Below are 17,988 nucleotides of genomic sequence, written 5' to 3'. Positions count from 1 at the left end.
CATGCTTATGGCAGTCTCTTTGTGAACCTATGTTTGCATTTAATTTGGGTAAATACCTGAGAGTGGAAGTTTTAGGTAATGGGGTAGGTGAAAGTTTATGAGAAATTGCCAGTTTTTCTAAGTGGTCATACTGTTTTACATTACCACTATATTCTCCTGTGCTTTTTGACCTCTGAAGTTGAATAAAATAGATTATTAAACTATATATAATTTGGCTTAACAGAAAATGTATTTGTTTACTTACATGAGGATGTGGATATCAGTGCCACATAAGTAGTGTAGGCAATTCTTAACTTCTATCAGCCTCAATATTTTCATTTTTGGGGATAATGCTAATTATCTGCCCAGTGTCATGGTTTTGTACATAATTATCTGAAAGCACTTTGGAAAGCATGAAGCACTATACAAGGGTAAGATGGTAATATTTTGTTTACAATTATTAATATCTATTATAATTTGATATAATTTTGCCATCTAATAAGTTTGTAATGCTGGGCTAATTCGATTAATTTTTTATCATGTATTTTGAAACAAAGAAGTAGGTAACTCCTTGGTATGTTTATATTAAAATTATTTTTATGGCCCACAATTCATCTTTAGAATAATTATACAGAAATATAATGGTTATTTACTGTCTGTTTACTTATTTATACCCTGCCTTACTCCAAAAAATATTTTAAGATGATTTACAGATTAATTTATCAAGAAAAATAGATGGTTAAGTGTTTCTTGTCTTGTCCACAGAGTGTCACTGTTGGTTTATTTGAAAATCAAAAGCCATTTAAGATTTGGTTCTTTGTTCATGGTTAGAAATACTTGCTTTTAAAGCAGTTCTGGTGCTAGAAGACTCGTTTATCTACCACGAAGTATATAAATGGTTAAGCTTGATGAAAATGGTGTCTTAAGTGTAGCTGGGTTAATGAGAACACAATTCTGCAAATATATCTTTTCCTGTAGTTGTAGGATTTGTGATGGGCAAAGGTCCTTTGATATCACAAATAGGCCTTAGGTGCTTCTTGAAAATGAAATGGAAGTTCTGAACTTTTCTTTCTTTCATATGTTCTTTTGGTTTATTAATAATTTTTCCTTAGACAATAACATGAATACTTGATTGTGAAGAAGGTGGAAGTATCATTAATGAATGTATACCAGACTTTGAATCTTTATATAATATTAAATGCTCATTGCCAAATATATTCCAAGAAAGCAATTTGAATTCTTTTTCAGTCTTCATATATACTACAGAATTACTCTGAACTCAGGCTGAAGGAAATATCTCTCTCTCCTGAATCTGTATGCTTCTTTTCATTAGACAATGAGCTCTGAAGCATTTTGTTTCCTTCTTTTCCTTATCTAGTAGGAAATTCACAGCATTTTTGTACCCAGTTTCATTAGCTTTTCTAATTTTTAAAAGAATTATAGATTTACAGAAGAGTTGCAAAAATATTTCAGGGAATTCTCATATATATGCTTGACACAGCTTCCCTTAATGTTAACTTACATGTATAACTTAAAATTATGGTAATTGTAATAATCACAGCACAGTTATCAGAACCAGGAAATGAACATTGGTGTAGTACTATTAGCTAAACTGTGGTCCTTGTTTGAATTTTGCCATTCCTACCCAATCCCATGTCCTTTTTCTGTTCCAGGATAAAATCTAGTATCCCACATTGAATTTAGTTGTGTCTCCTTAGCCTCTTCTAGTCTGTGACAGCTCCTTATTCTTTCCTTGTCTTTCATGACTTTGACACTATTGATGACCACTGCTCAGTTATTTTATAAAATGTCTCGATCTTGGTGTGTCTGATACTTTCTCTTGAATAGATCGAGATTATGCATTTTTGGCAAGAGAGTAACACATGAGTGATGTTATCTCCTCATTGAATCATATTGGGGGATAGGTGGTGTTGATATTTTTTTTATTGGTGATGTTAACATTGATCACTTGGTTAACATGATGTTTTCCAGATTTTTCCACAGTAAAGTTACTATTTTTCCCCATTGCCCACGATAAAGATTTTGGGTGGCAGGGGATTTTGAGACTCTGCTAATATCCTGTTTCTCTTCAACTCACCAAGACAAGTTAGTATCCATGCATGGATTTTACCTGCAGCAGCCATTATTGTGGTGTGTGCCTTATGTTGATTCTCTGTCTCCCTCATTCCTTCTGGATTTATTAATTGGAATGCATTTGCAAGGGAGAGCTGTCCTTTATCTCCTATTTATTTATTCAATTATGTATATTCATATTAATATTGACTCATGGACATTTATTGCATTGTATGAGTTATAATCCAGTATTGTAATTATTTCTTCATTGATCAAATTTTCCAGCTTTGGCTATTGGGAGCTCCTTCAGTTGATTCCCATGGCCTTTTGACTTGTCCCTGCCTTTTTTGTATACTCACTTGTTTTCTGACATCACAAGATAGTCTAGGCTCATCTGTACTTTCCCTGTCTTAGCTCTGGAATTAAACTGTTCTCTAAGGAGCCCCGGTTCCTTTAGTTGGAGACTGGTATTTAGAAACCGAGATCTGGACACTAGGTGTGTTCATTGCTCCTCTTGTGTCATTGATCCTAGGCCTTCTCAGTGGACAGAACTAGGAAATAAATGTAGGTATCCCAATCCATGCACACACATACATCTATATTTCAGTCTCGCTATATATTAAAACTATATGTTCATACTGATATTCAGTAGCTTTTCTTAAACCTAGGTTCTTATATAATAACTTCTTTGCCTACCTCCTTTATTAATCAGCTCTTTTATTCTCATATTCTCTTTTTCTTGGCTTTATAAGACTTCTGAAATCCTCTGGAACATAGGGGAGAAACAAAAAGAATTTAAAAATATAAATATTTAAACTGTTCTTTTTATAGTGCTTACTTTGGCTCCTAGTGATATTAAGACATTGACTACTTATTTTTTATATATATATATTTGAGATGGAATCTCGCTCTATCACCCAGGCTGGAGTGCAGTGGCGCAATCTTGGCTCACTGCAACCTCCTACTCCTGGATTCAAGCCTCAGCCTGCCTCAGCCTCCCGAGTAGCTGGGACTACAGGCACGTGCCACCACGCCCGGCTAATTTTTTGTATTTTTAGTAGAGACAAGGTTTCGCCGTGTTAGCCAGGATGATCTCAATCTTCTGACCTTGTGATCCACCCGCCCCGGCCTCCCAAAGTGCTGGGATTATATGTGTGAGCCACTGCACCTGGCCTATTTTTTAGAATGTTAATAGAACAATGAAGTTTCTTGTGATGAAAATGATAGAAACCATCTTTCTGGATTCCAACACTGTTGTAAAGTATGAAGTTCTGTCTCTCAAATGTAGTTTTCTGAAATACTGAGCCAAAAAAATTTTTAATCACATTTAATACCATTGTACTATTTTTTTTTTTTTTCTGAGACAGAATTTCGCTCTTATTGCCCAGGCTGGAGTGCAGTGGTGTGATCTCAGCTCACTGCAACCTCTGCCTCCCGGGCTTAAGCGATTCTCCTGCCTCAGCCTCCCGAGTAGCTGGGATTACAGGCGTGCGCCACCACACCCGGCTACTTTTTGTATTTTTAGTAGAGACAGGGTTTCGCCATGTTGGCCAGGCTGGCCTCGAACTCCTGACCTCAGGTGATCTGCCCACCTCGGCCTCCCAAAGTGCTGGGCTTACAGGCGTGAGCCACTGTGCCTGACCACCATTGTACTGTTAATAGAAATTTTGCTGTGTCAAGTTCTGTATGATTATCATCTCATTGTGATACATTTTTCAAAAAATTTCTAGTTAGAACAGTATCCCAAGGTGAAAAATTTGAAGTAAAAATAATTTCTATAGCCCCTTTTTTTTTCACAAAAAAGCCCATAACTGATCAAATGTAGTTAAGCCTCTTTCATCTAGATTGTTTCACATTTAATTTCTCCAAAATAATCCTTAAAGGAAATTGGCTGATTTGGATGAAATTTAGTATGTGCTTGAATGTGTATCAAGATGTCTCAATGGAAACAAAATGGCAGCCCATCAAGGTTTTGTAAAGAACCATACCTTAGGTGGTTTTGAGGGGGTGTTGTAAGAATCACCATGTTGGTAAAGATGTGATTACCGGGGATTTTCTGAGTTCTAAGCCAGAGGTAATGAAGGTTTATTAAAAAAAATGTTTCTTACCGTATATAATGTTTCTTGAATGGAATGAGCTAAAATATTTTGGAAAGTAAAATTGTTTGGGCGTTTATCATGATCATGGGGGAGAACAGAAGCGGAGTGCTTCCAAGGGACACATGCAGTCTTGGGGGGAAGTGGGTGCAGAGGCGAGCTGGGAAGGGAGGGAGCAGGTTCTCCCTAGCCTACCTCCCCCTGCACTGCTAGGCCAGGGTCCCCCTCAGCAAGCCTGCACACTGGGGTGGGAGGCAGCATCTGTGGGGGGAGGTGCCTAGGGCCATGGTCAGCCTGAAATGGCCCCAATGGCTCCTCTCCATTGCTCCTAAGGGGCTGGCTTTTTCCTTCCCTGCCCGTTCTAGATCACAGGGGTGGCGCTGCAGCTTGCCTTGTTCTTTCATACCAGTTCCCTCTTGAGTCCACCTCCGTCCTGCTTAGCTGGGAGCAGAGGAGGACGCCCTCAGTTGGCAGTCCCCGGCCTACCTCAGCCCTCTAGTCCTGCCTCTTCACTCCTGGAGACAGTGGAGCGCCTAGGGCAGTCCTCTCCTCCAACTCCTCATATCTGTCCCCACAGCCAACCAACTGCCCCCATCCCCGCCCTTCTTCTGACCCCTTCCCGACTATTCTAGTGGCCTGGGCTGACATCCTTGCTGCTTTCTGCATCTAGTCCCCTCCCCGAACTCAGAGCTGCCCCCAATCGGGCGTCCCTCTGTCTCTCCTCTGGCTCTAGCTCCTGACCCTCCTTCCCCTCTACGTGTTCTCCCACAGCTTGGAGAAGCCACTTCTCTTGCCTCCCATCCCTCCTTTGCTGTCATCCTCACTCTCTCCTTCCCATGACAGCCTCGCTCCTGGAATGTCATTGATACTCGCTGTCTCCACATCTGGCTTCCTGTTTTTCTCTGGGTATTTTTGAACCTGCTGTTTCTTCTATCCTGTAAACCCTTCCATGCATCCTCACCTGGTGAGCTCCTTCTCATGTTTTAATTCTCACCTCAGACCTCACCTCCTCTGAAAAGCTCTCCATGACTGCCAGCCTGGGTTAGGCCCACTCTTCTGTGCATGCTTAGCCTCCTGTTCCTGCCTGTGTCATGGCGCTGGTAATAACAATAGTAACATGAAGAGACCACTGAGCACTGTTGGACTGGGCATAGTGTAGTGTTGTTACCGTTAGTAGTAACCTAATACTATGGCAAGGTTCTTGTCCTCAAGAGAACCCTGAGAGAGATTTTCATCCCGATTCCCTACATGAGGACATTGAAGCACAGAGAGGTTAAGTAACTTGCTCAGGGTCACACAGCCAATAAGTGGCTGGACTCTAGTATTTGACCCCAACCATGTTCCCCTAGAGCCTGCACTGTTTACCTCAGTGCCATAGCCCAGTGGTTCTCACTGGGAGCATCAGAATCACCTGGAGGGCTTGTGAAAACATAGACCACTGCTCCTACTCTCAGAGTTTCCGACTCCAGAGGTCTGGGGTACGGCCTGAAATTTGGCATTTCTAATTTCTTGCAGGTGTTGTTGATACTGCCAGTTTGTGGACCACTTTGCAAACCACTGTTCCAGGCTGCTAATCACTTTGTCTATTGGAATCCTCTCTTTACTTGTCTCTCTCCCAGCTGAGATGGCAGTTCCTCTAGGACAGGAGCTTTTTTTTTTTTTTTTTTTTTTTTTTTTTGAGACAGGGTCTCATTCCATTGCCCAGGCTGGAGTGCAGTGGCACAATCATGGCTCACTGTAGCCTCAACTTCTCAGGCTCAGGTGATTCTCCCACCTCAGGCTCCCAAGTATCTGGGACTACAGGTGCATGCCACCATGCCTGGCTACATTTTTGTATTTTTTTTTTCTAGAGACGGAGTTTTTGTTGTTGTTGTTGTTTTTTGTTAGAGATGGAGTCCTGCTGTATTGCTCAGGCTGGTCTCGAACTTCTGAGCTCAAGTGATCCGCCTGCCTCGGCCTCCCAAAGTGCTGGGATTACAGGCATGAGCCACCGTGCCTGGCTAGGAGCTTTCTTTCAGTCCATGTTTCCAACACATAGCAAAGTAGTTCTGCCAGGTGGAAGGCCGTCAATAAAGGTTTAGTTGAATGAATGAATGAGGAAATGTTTCTGGCCCTTTGTTTAAGCGTATTTTTTTTTTGCCCAAAGTTTCTGTGTATTTCAAGAAGAATTCTCAGATTTTTATCAGTCATATATGCTTGATTGGCACGTAGGGGATGTGTACTCAATGGTTTTGTAAGATTAGTTGTTGACTGCATGATTTTAAAATGTTTGAAGCCAAAAGTCACATCTGTTATATTTGGCTCAATGTTCTTTCTGGAGTGGAACACTCACTGTCTGTATATAATATAGACTTCATATTTGTACATATATGAACATATATGTTACATATGAACATTATAAAGTGAGTATTTGGTCTTTTAGCAGATTTGAGGATTTCTTTCCTAAAATAGCACCTTCCTTGATGTGCAGCGTCTTCATCATCAATGTGCTGGTGTAGAGGCATTGTGGCGCTTTCATTTGCTGGCATTAGAGCATCCTCAGTGCCTGCACGGGGTAGAGCAGCAGAGGGGATGTTGGGGCTCCTGAGCTCAGCCTCTTGGCTCTGTGTCACCTACAGCCAGGCCTCGAATAGGAGCAAGACATTTCTGATGGCTTGAGAACTTTTGTTGTGTCTAGCAGTTAACATTTGACTTAATGGCATTTTCACATATGTTATTTTTCTTTTGAAATATGAGCTACTATTTTTTAAATATAATAGAATTTAGAAGATCTTATTGAAAATACCACTATGCAGGTTGACCGTCTTTGTGGAGCTGTTTCAGAAGTGCAATGTTCTTGGGAGCAACCACCTTTGATGAAATGTGTGTTACAAAAACATTTTTACAACTTTGATAAACCTCTAGCTCCTAAAGACACAAATCAGTTAGAATTGATAGAGAACTAGTAACTCTGAGATTAGCAAGGCTTTTCTCTACTTACTTTAATAGCAGATGGGGGACTACAATTCCCTTGGAAGAATGCTGAAGTTTAGGTCTGACAGATTACAACACTGAGTATTTTTATGTTAGTAGATATCATGTATAAAATGTAGGGTTGAAGAAGAATAAAAATCATATAATCAAAGTACAGCATTTATCCTTAACAATGGAAAATGATGTTGCAAGGAAAATACATAGGAATGCTTATTTTTTTAAATAAACTTTTTAAGCCTCATTTTAAGTTACAGTTGACTTATACTGGGTTGGTGTCATTTTAGAGGTCGTCTGGATTTACACAAAAAAGTTTTGATTGTATGTCTCATGGAGAAATTGAAGTCTAGGAACCGAAGAAAATAACTTTACTCATTCTGTTCTCTTACCCTGGATAGGTACAGTCTAGCATATCACCACCAGCGGAAAGGCAGGAAACCCATGCCTGGGCCAGCCCTGCTGTAACATCTCTTGAGTCAGCAGCATGTCATGAACTGCAGGAAGCAGACCTCAGTGAGAGTTTATCATATCCCAGAATTGTCTCCTCAAGTTCATTACAGCAGTATGTCGCACAAGGTGGCTCATTTCCTTGTTTCGGTATGCCATGGAACTTTATCAGTGGAGGTGCTGAAAGTACCAATGCTGTCATCTCATTTGCCAATGCTACTACAGCAGTACCTATGGCAGTTCTGTCACGAAGAGAATCCAGTCTGGCAAATAACCCTGGTGTGGTGAATTACTCTGCTCTACCAGAAAATGAAAATGTGGGCCCAGGTAGAGCCTTGTCATCTTTCTGCTTCCATCCCAATTTGGGTGAGTTTGAAATGACACATATTACAGATAGCATTCTTCAATCTAGATTTTAAAACACCCTTCATGCAAATTAGTGTTAGTTATTTTTTAAATTAAAAGTTTTATCTTGAAGCCATTATAGATTCATATGTAGTTGTAAGAAATAATACAGAGAGATACCCTTTCCCCAATTTTCCCCAGTGGTAACATCTCATAAGACTGTAGTTTGTATTCATTTGTGTGTCTGACTTTCGGCTTTTTTTTTTAAAACAATTTTATCAGATGAGAAAGTTTGTATGTTCCTACCATAGTCAAGATACAGAACCGTTCTATCACCAGAAAGTTTGCTTGTCTTGCCTTTCTATAACCAAACCCATCCTCCTTTTCCTTCCCCCACTTACCTATTCCTAACCTTTGGCAAGTGTGATCTCTTCTCCATCTCTATAATTTTGTCACTTCAATATTGTTATATAATTGGATGCATATAGTATGTAACCTTTTGGTACTGGCTTTTTTTTACTCAACATAATCCCCTGGAGACTCAACCAAGTTGTGTGTTTCAGTAGTTCCTTTATTGCCAAGTACTATTCCATGGTATAGGTGTGCCATGGTTTAACCATTCATCTATTGAAGGAAATTATTTTTCCAGTTTTTGACTATTAGTAGTAAGGCTGCTATGAAAATTCATATACAAGTTTTTGTGTAAATGGAAGTTTTCATTTCTCTGACATGATTACCCAAGAGTGCAACTGCTGGTTATATATTAATTGCATGTTTAGGTTTTTTTAAAAAAACAAATCTTTATTGAGATATTAATGTCTTGGTCTGTTTGTGTTACTATAACAAAATACCATAGACTGGGTGATTGAAAAAGAACAGAAATGTAGTTTCTCACAGCTCCAGAGGCTGGGAAGTTCAAAAGCAAGGTGCCAGCCGGTTTGTGTGGTGAGGGCTGCATCCTCTGCAAGAGAGGAGCACTGTGTCCTCACATGGCAGAAGGTAGAAGGACAAGATTTCAAAATGCCGTGTGAAGCCTCTTTTATAAGGGCCTCCATCCCATTCATGAGGGAGGAGCCCTCATAGCTTAATCATCTTAAAGGTCCCATTTCTTAATACGATCACATTGGCAACACCTGAATTTTGGAAAGGATACCTTCAAACCATAGTAATTGATAAGTAAAAAACTGCACATATTTATTATACCCAATGTAATGAGTTTGGACATATGCATGTTTAGTTTTATGAGAAACTGCCTAACTATTTTCCAGGGGCGCTGTATCATCTGACATTCTTGCCAGCTATATATGGGTGATCTACTTTCTCTAAATGCATATTTCTGCTCTTTCTTTTGTTCTTTCTTCCTGATGCTCCAAGATTCCTTCTTTCATCATCTTCTTTTTTTGATTGAGGAGTTTTCTTTAACCTTTCTTTAAGGGTAAGTCTGCTGGGGACAAATTCTTTTTGTTTTCCTTTGTGTGTGAATGTCTGTTTCTCTTTCTTTCTTGAAGGATAATTTTGCTTTGTATAGAATTTGTGGGTGAAGTTCTTGTATTACAGCTCTTGAAAACTTTTTATTTACAGAAATGCCAGAAAGACCAGCAAACAGCAGTAAAAACAGCACTGAGACAGCGAATTATCCAACTTTAATGGGAAATTACAATGGCCAAAATACTGCCTCTTTATCTGTCTTCATCCCTCCCTATTTTGGTGAGTTTGAAATGATACATAATGCTGGGCGTGGTGGCTCACACTTGTAATCCCAGCACTTTGGGAGGGTGAGGCGGGTGCATCACCTGACATCAGAAGTTTGAGACCAGCCTGACCAACATGGTGAAAACCCGTCTCTACTAAAAATACAAAAAATTAGCCGGGTGTGGTGGCGGGCACCTGTAATCCCAGCTACTCCGGAGGCCGAGGCAGGAGAATCACTTGAACCCAGAGGCAGAGGTTGCAGTGAGCTGGGATCATGCCACTTAACTCCAGCCTGGGCAACAAGAGCGAAACTCCATCTCAAAATAAATAAATACATAAATACATAAAAAAGAAATGATACATATTGCAAATAGCATTATTTAACCTTGATCCACCAGTTTTTTTTTTTTTGTTTTTTTTTTTTTTTTTTTTTGAGATGGAGTTTTGCTCTTGTTGCCCAGGCTGGAGTACAATGGTGCGATCTCGGCTCACTGCAACCTCCGCCTCCTGGGTTCAAGTGATTCTCCTACCTCAGCCTCCCAAGTAGCTGGGATTATAGGCATGCACCACCACGCCTGGCTAATTTTTTTGTATTTTTAGTAGAGACGAGGTTTCTCCATGTTGGTCAGGCTGGTCTCCAACTCTCAACCTCGGGTGATCTGTCCGCCTCTGCCTCCCAAAGTGCTGGGATTATAGGCGTGAGCCACTGCGCCCAGCCTGATTCACCAGTATTTTTAATGTCAGCTAGTGTGACTCTTTTCAAACTAAACTTTTCGGTTTGAGATAATTTTAGATTCACACACAGTTGTAAGAAATAATGCAGAGAACTGTTTATGCTTTAGCCATTTCCCCCAAAGGATGACATCTTTAAAACTATAGTAAAATATCACATCCAAGGTAGTGGCATTGATACACTCCACAGATCTTACTGAGATGTTCCCAGGTTTACTTGTAATTAATTTGTGTGTGTGTATTTAGTTCTTTGCAGTTTTATCACAAGTAGTTTTAATGTCTACCTCCAGTGAAGACATAGAACGTTTCTATCACTGCAATGATGCCTCATCTTGCCCTTTGATAATCACATTCACTTTCCTCATGTCATCCTTTCCTTCCAACCTGCCCCATCCCTAACACCTGGTAACTACTGATCTGTTCTCTGTTTATAATTTTGTCACTTCAAGAATGTTATATTAAGGGAATGTTACAGTATGTAATTTTGGGGTATTGGTGTTTTTCACTCAGTATAGTTATCTGAAAACTCACCCAGCTTGTTGCATGTATCAAGAGTTCCCTCCTTTCTTTTCTTCTTTTTTTTTTTTTTTTTTTTGAGACAGAGTCTTACTCTGTTGCCCAGGCTGGAATGCAGTGGCGCGATCTTGGCTTACTGCAACTTCTGCCTCCCGGGTTCAAGCAATTCTCATGCCTCAGCCTCCTGAATAGCTAGGATTACAAGTGTGTGCCACCACGCCCAGCTAATTTTTGTATTTTTGGTAGAGACAGGGTTTCACCATGTTGGCCAGGCTGGTCTCAAACTCCTGACCTCAGGTGGCCTGCCTGCCACGGCCTCCCAAAGTGCTGAGACTACAGGCATGAGCCACCACACCCAGCCTACCCTCCTTTTTATTTTTGATTTATATTTCATAGTATGGCTATGCCACAGTTTGTTTAGCCATTCACCCATTGAAAAGGCATCAAATTGTTTTTTTTTCCAGTTTTTGGATATTAGGAGTGAAGCCACTATGAACAGTCATGAACAGGTTTTTCTGTAAATATAAGTTTTCATTTCTCTGTCATGAATGCCAAGAGTGTAATTGCTGAGCCTTATGGTACTAGCATGTTTAGTTTTATAAGAAACTGCCAAATAGTTTTCCAGAGAGTCTGTATTATCTTCCATTTCCACCAGCAATGCATGAGTGATCCAGTTTCTCCACATTCATATTTCTGTTATTTCTATTGTTCTTCCTTCTGGATGCTCTATATTTTCTTTTTTCATCCATTCCTTTCTGTTTGAATACTTTTCTTCAGCCTTTCTTTCAGGTTTCTTTAGTGTTCCTGCATGTGAAAATGTCTTTATTTTCCTTATGTTCTTCAAGGAACATAGTTTTGCTGGGCATAGAATTTGTGGCTGAGAGTTTATTTTCCATCAATATCCTGAATGCAAGTCAGTGGTAGCTCTTTAAAAACAAAAAAAAAAACTAGGCTTTTTATTTTGAGATAATTTTGAATTCACATGTAATTGTAAGAAATTGTACAGAGATCCCATTTATACTTTACCCATTTTCCTCAATGATAACATCTTAAAGAACTATATCCTGCATCCAGGATATTGGCATTGATTAAATCCACATCTCTGTGTGTGTATTTAGTTCTATGAAATTTAATCATGAGTCAGTTTACATGTCCACTATTAGTTACAATACAGAACATTTCCATCATCACTACAAAGATCCTTCATATTGTTCTTTTAAAACCATAGCCACCTCCCCCAATCTCCCTTGCCTCTCATCTTGCCCTGTCTTAACTACTGATAGTCAGCAATCTCACTTTGTTTGCCAGAATTTCATTATTTGAGTATCATTACTTAAATGCAACTAAATGCTGTGTAACCTTTTTATTTATTTATTATTATTATACTTTAAGTTTTAGGGTACATGTGCACAATGTGCAGGTTAGTTACATATGTATACATGTGCCATGCTGGTGTGCTGCACCCATTAACTCGTCATTTAGCATTAGGTATATCTCCTGATGCTATCCCTCCCCCCTCCCCCCACCCCACAACAGTCCCCAGAGTGTGATGTTCCCCTTCCTGTGTCCATGTGTTCTCATTGTTCAATTCCCATCTATGAGTGAGAACATCCGGCGTTTGGTTTTTTGTCCTTGTGATAGTTTACTGAGAATGATGATTTCCAATTTCATCCATGTCCCTACAAAGGACATGAACTCATCATTTTTTATGGCTGCATAGTATTCCATGGTGTATATGTGCCACATTTTCTTAATCCAGTCTATCATTGTTGGACATTTGGGTTGGTTCCAAGTCTTTGCTATTGTGAATAGTGCCACGATAAACATAAGTGTGCATGTGTCTTTATAGCAGCATGATTTATAGTCCTTTGGGTATATACCCAGTAATGGGATGGCTGGGTCAAATGGTATTTCTAGTTCTAAATCCCTGAGGAATCGCCACCCTGACTTCCACAAGGGTTGAACTAGTTTCCAGTCCCACCACCAGTGTAAAAGTGTTTATTTCTCCACATCCTCTCCAGCACCTGTTGTTTCCTGACTTTTTAATGATTGCCATTCTAACTGGTGTGAGATGGTATCTCATTGTGGTTTTGATTTGCATTTCTCTGATGGCCAGTGATGATGAGCATTTTTTCATGTTGTCTGTTGGCTGCATAAATGTCTTCTTTTGAGAAGTGTCTGTTCATATCCTTTGCCTACTTTTTGATGGGGTTGTTTGTTTTTTTCTTGTAAATTTGTTTGAGTTCATTGTAGATTCTGGATATTAGCCCTTTGTCAGATGAGTAGGTTGCGAAAATTTTCTCCCATTCTGTAGGTTGCCTGTTCACTCTGATGGTAGTTTCTTTTGCTGTGCAGAAGCTCTTTAGTTTGATTAGATCCCATTTGTCAATTTTGTCTTTTGTTGCCATTGCTTTTGGTGTTTTAGACATGAAGTCCTTGCCCATGCCTATGTCCTGAATGGTAATGCCTAGGTTTTCTTCTAGGGTTTTTATGGTTTTAGGTCTAACGTTTAAGTCTTTACGCCATCTTGAATTAATTTTTGTATAAGGTGTAAGGAAGGGATCCAGTTTCAGCTTTCTACATATGGCTAGCCAGTTTTCCCAGCACCATTTGTTAAATAGGGAATCCTTTCCCCATTTCTTGTTTTTGTCAGGGGTTTCTGCTTTTGCTTCTATCTCATGAGAGTTATTCACTATCACAAGAATAGCATGGGAAAGACTGGCCCCCATGATTCAGTTACCTCCCCCTAGGTCCCTCCCACAACATGCGGGAATTCTGGGAGATACAATTCAAGTTGAGATTTGGGTGGGGACACAGCCAAACCATATCATTACTCAAGGAGAATTTCACTATGTATAAATTCACGGTTGAGAGTTCTTAAGCACTTGAAAAATGTTCTTTCTGTACGTATGCCGAGAATTGCAGAAACCAGGCTGGAAAACAACCCTCAGACAATGAATTACCCAATTTCTTCGGGAAATGGCAGCGGCCCATGTTCTTCCTCTTCATCTGCCGGCCTCACACCTAATTTTGGTGAATTTCAGATGCTGTATTACAAGTGACACTATTGAATCCGGATCGATCAACATCCTTAATGCAAGCTAGTAGTAGCTCGTTTTTGAAATTAAACTTTTATTTTTATTTTTTTGAGGCGGAGTCTCACTCTGTCACCCAGGCTGGAGTGCAGTGGTGTGGTCTTGGCTCACTGCAACCTCTGCCTCCTGGGTTCAAGAGATTCTCCTGCCTCAGCCTCCCAAGTAGCTGGAACTATAGGGCATGCCACCATGCCTGGCTAATTTTTGTATTTTTAGTAGGGACGGGGTTTCACCATGTTGGCCAGGCTGGTCTCAAACGCCTGACCTTAGGTGATCTACCCTCCTTGGCCTCCCAAAGTGCTGGGATTATAGGCGTGAGCCACCGTGCCCAGCCATTTTTATTTTGAAATAATTTTAGATTCACATGTATTTGTAAGAAATAATAGAAATGATCCCCTTTATGCTTTACCCTTTTCTACCAGCAATATCATCTTACAAAACTATAGTAAATTAACACAACCAGGATATTGACATTGATACAATACACAGATATAACTGAGATAGCCCCAGTTTTACTTATAATAATCTGTGGGTGTATCTGTATTTCTTTCTGTGCAAGTTTTCTTCCACGAATAGGTTTGATTCTCACCACCACAGTCAAGACATAGAACATTTCCATCACCACCAGGCTGCCTCATCTTTGATAACCACCCCCACCTCTCTCAGGTCACCCTTTTCTTCCCCATTGACTGTTCCCTAACCTCTGACAAACGCTGGCCTCTATAATTTTGTCACTTTAAGAGTGTAATATAAAGGGAATCTTATGGCATGTAGGTTTTTTTTTTTTTTTTTCAGTCAGTATGATTCCCTAAAGGCTTATACAGGTTGTTGTGTGTATCAGTTGTTCCTCTTTTTTTTCTGATAATCTTCCATGGTTTGGATATACAATAGTTGTTTTTAACCATTTACCAATTGAAGGCCATTATTTCCCCCCTCCCACTCTTTGGTATTAGGACTAAACTGCTCTGAACATTCCTATACTGGTTTTTGGATAAATATAAGTTTTCATTTGTCTGTCATGAATGTCAAGAGCACAATTGCTGGGTCTTATGGTACTAGCATGTTTAGTTTTATAAGAAACTGCCAAACATTTTTCCAGAAAGGCTTTACATGTATGGGTGATCCAGTTTCTCCATATTTATATTTCTTATCTTTCTTTTTTCTCTTCTTTCCTTTTTTTTTTTTCAATTGAGACAGTCTCGCTCTGTCATCCAGGCTGGAGTGCAGTGGTGTGATCTGGGCTTACTGCAACCTCTACCTCCCAGGTTCAAGCAGTTCTCTTGCCTCAGCCTCCCAAGTAGCTGGGATTACAGGCACCCACCACCACACCCGGCAAATTTTTGTATTTTTAGTAGAAACGGGGTTTCGCCATGTTGGCTAGGCTGGTCTTGAACTCCTGACCTCAGGGGATCCGCCCACCTCGGCCTCCCAAAGTGTTGGGATTACAGGTGGAGCCACTGCTCCCGGCCTATATTGTGGTCTTTCTATCAGTCTTTCTTCCTTCCTGATGCTCCAGGATTTCTTTCATCATACCCTTTCTGTTTTAACATTTCCTTCCCTCCCTCCCTCCCTCCCTCCCTCCCTTCCTCTGTCTCTTTCGTTCTTTCGTTCTTCTTTTGTCTCACTCTGTCATCCAGGCTGGAGTGCAGTGGTGCAATCATGGCTCACTGCAGCCTCCATTTCCCGGGCTCAGGTGACCCTCCCTCAGCCTCCTGACTCAGCTAGGACTACAGGTGCTTGCTATCACTCCTGGCTAGTTTTTAAATTTTTTTGTAGAGGTGGGGTCTCATGTTGTCCAGGCTGGTCTCGAACTTCTGGGCTCAGGCAATCCACTTGTCTCCGCCTCCCAAAGTATTGGGATTGTAGGCATGAGCCACTGCACCAGGCCTGGAGATTTTCCTTTAACCTTTTATATGGATAAGTCGGCTAGGGACAGATTTTTTTAGTTTTCTTTCGTTCGAGAAATGTCTTTACCTTTTTTCCAGAAGGATAGTTTTACCTCATGTAGAATTTATGATTGAGCATTCTTTTTTTTTCCCAATAGCTGAGAAAATTATACTTACTGAAATGCCAGGAACAACAGAAACCAACGTGGAAAATAACTCTCAGACAGTGTATTACCCAGCTTTATCGGGAAATACGAGTGCCCCATATCCAGCCTCTTCATATCTTCCCATCACTTCTAATTTTGGTGAGTTTGAAATAATGGATATCACAAGCAGGCCTCTCATCTAGATTCATCAACATTCTTAATATTAATTCTTAGTGGTAGCTTTTTACAAATTAAACTTTTCATATTGAGGTAGTTCAGAAATCATACACAGGTATAAGAAAGAAGACAGAAAAATCCTGACTACCCTTTACCTAATTTCCCCCAATAATTATATTTAGCAAAAAACAACAAATATTACAACCAGCATATTCACATTTATACAAGCCACAGATCTTATAGAGATGTCCCATTTTACTTGTATTTATTTGTGTGTGTGTGTGTGTGTGTGTGTGTGTGTGTGTTTAGTACTATGCAGCTTTATTCCACAAGTAGGTTTGTGTGCCCACCACCACAGTCAAGGTAGAGATCATTTCCATCAGCATGAGGCACTGTTGTGTTACCTTTGATAACCACACCAACTCTCTCAGGTCACCCTTCCCTAACACTCCATGACCCATCCCTAACACCTGGCTTCCACTGATCTCTTCTTTATCTCTGTAATTTTATCTCTTTCAATTGTTGTATAAGTGGAATCATATTTGGAATTGGATTTTTTTTCACTCAGCTTAGAGACTCGTCCAGGTTGTTTTTTCTATTAATAGTTTATTCCTATTGCTGAATAGTATTGCATGTCTGGATATACTATGTTTTCTTCAACCATTCACCTGCTGAAGGACGTCTGGTGGGTTTTTTGTGTTTTTATTTTATTTTTATTTTTTGTCTATTGGGTGTAAAGCCGCTATGAATTGTCATGTACACATTTTTGTATAAATGTAAGTTTTCATTTCTCAGTAGTTTCTTTCTTTCTATTGATGAATAGTTCCTTCCTTTCCATGGTACAGATAGGAACAGTTTTTTTTTTTTTAAACCATTCACCTATTGAAGGACATCTGGTTTTTTCTTTCAATTTTTGGATAATGCAAGTAAAGCCACTTTGAACATTCATGTACTGTGTACTGGTTTTTGGGAAAATATAAGTTTTCATTTCTCTGTCATGAATGCCAAGAGAACAATTGCTGAGTCTTATGGTACTAGCATGTTTAGTTTTATAAGAAACTGCCAAACAGTTTCCTAGAGAGGCTGTACTATTGTTTATTTCCAACAGCAATGTATGAGTGATCCAATTTCTCCACATCTGTATTTCTGATCTTTCCATCATTCTTTCTTCCTTCCTGATACTCCAAGATTTCTTCTCTTATAGTATCTTTTCTGTTTGAAGGTTTTCGTATAGCCATTTTTTTAAGGGTAAATCTGCGAGGGACAAATTCGTTTAATTTTCCATTTTGTGAGGATGTTTTTATTTTCCCTTCTTTCCTGAGGGACAATTTCACCCAGTATAAAATTCATAGTTGAGAGTTCTTTTCTTTCAGTACTTGAAAGAGTTGCAGAAATGCCAGAAACAGCAGGAACTAACGTAAAAAACAATACTCAGACAGTGAATTACCCACCTTCATCAGGAAGGGGCCGTAGCCAAGGTAACGCCTCTTTATCGCTCTCCATTCCTCCCAAGTTTGGTGAGTTTGAAATGATACATGTTATTAGTAGCACTGTCTAATCTACATCCATCAACGTCCTTAATGTAAAACTAGTGGTAGGTTTTTTTAAACTAAACTTTTAATTTTGTGGTCATTTAAGATATATAGGTAGTTGTAAGAAATAATGCAGAGAAATACCCCTTCCACTTTACCTATTCTTCCCAACAATAGCATCTTGCAAAACTGTAACAGAACATCACAACCAGAATATTGACATCGATATTATCCACACATCTTATTGAGATCTCCCACTTAATTGTATTAATTTGTTTGTGTGCATTTAGTTCTACCTAGTT

At 39.7% G+C, this 17,988-nt stretch overlaps 1 protein-coding gene across 5 annotated transcripts in view; it reads left to right on the top strand.

The window, feature by feature from the left end:
* The window catches only part of BEND2 (BEN domain containing 2), a 57,956-nt gene that overhangs the window by 9,455 nt on the left and 30,513 nt on the right, over positions 1–17,988 (top strand). For 3 of the 5 annotated variants that reach the window (NM_153346.5, XM_011545447.2, XM_017029267.2), the window contains exons 5-7: positions 7,517–7,931; positions 9,492–9,617; positions 15,990–16,136. In NM_153346.5, the coding sequence (NP_699177.2) occupies positions 7,517–7,931; positions 9,492–9,617; positions 15,990–16,136 (688 nt within the window). The remainder of the gene's footprint in view (positions 1–7,516; positions 7,932–9,491; positions 9,618–15,989; positions 16,137–17,988) is intronic. The other 2 variants (XM_017029266.2, NM_001184767.2) reach the window with 2 other exon arrangements.

This window comes from Homo sapiens, chromosome X (genome assembly GCF_000001405.40).
Source record: "Homo sapiens chromosome X, GRCh38.p14 Primary Assembly".
In the NCBI taxonomy this organism is placed as follows: Eukaryota; Metazoa; Chordata; class Mammalia; order Primates; family Hominidae; genus Homo; species Homo sapiens.
The sequence above is the reverse complement of the archived record's forward strand: the minus strand, read 5'-3'. Positions and strand labels throughout refer to the sequence as shown.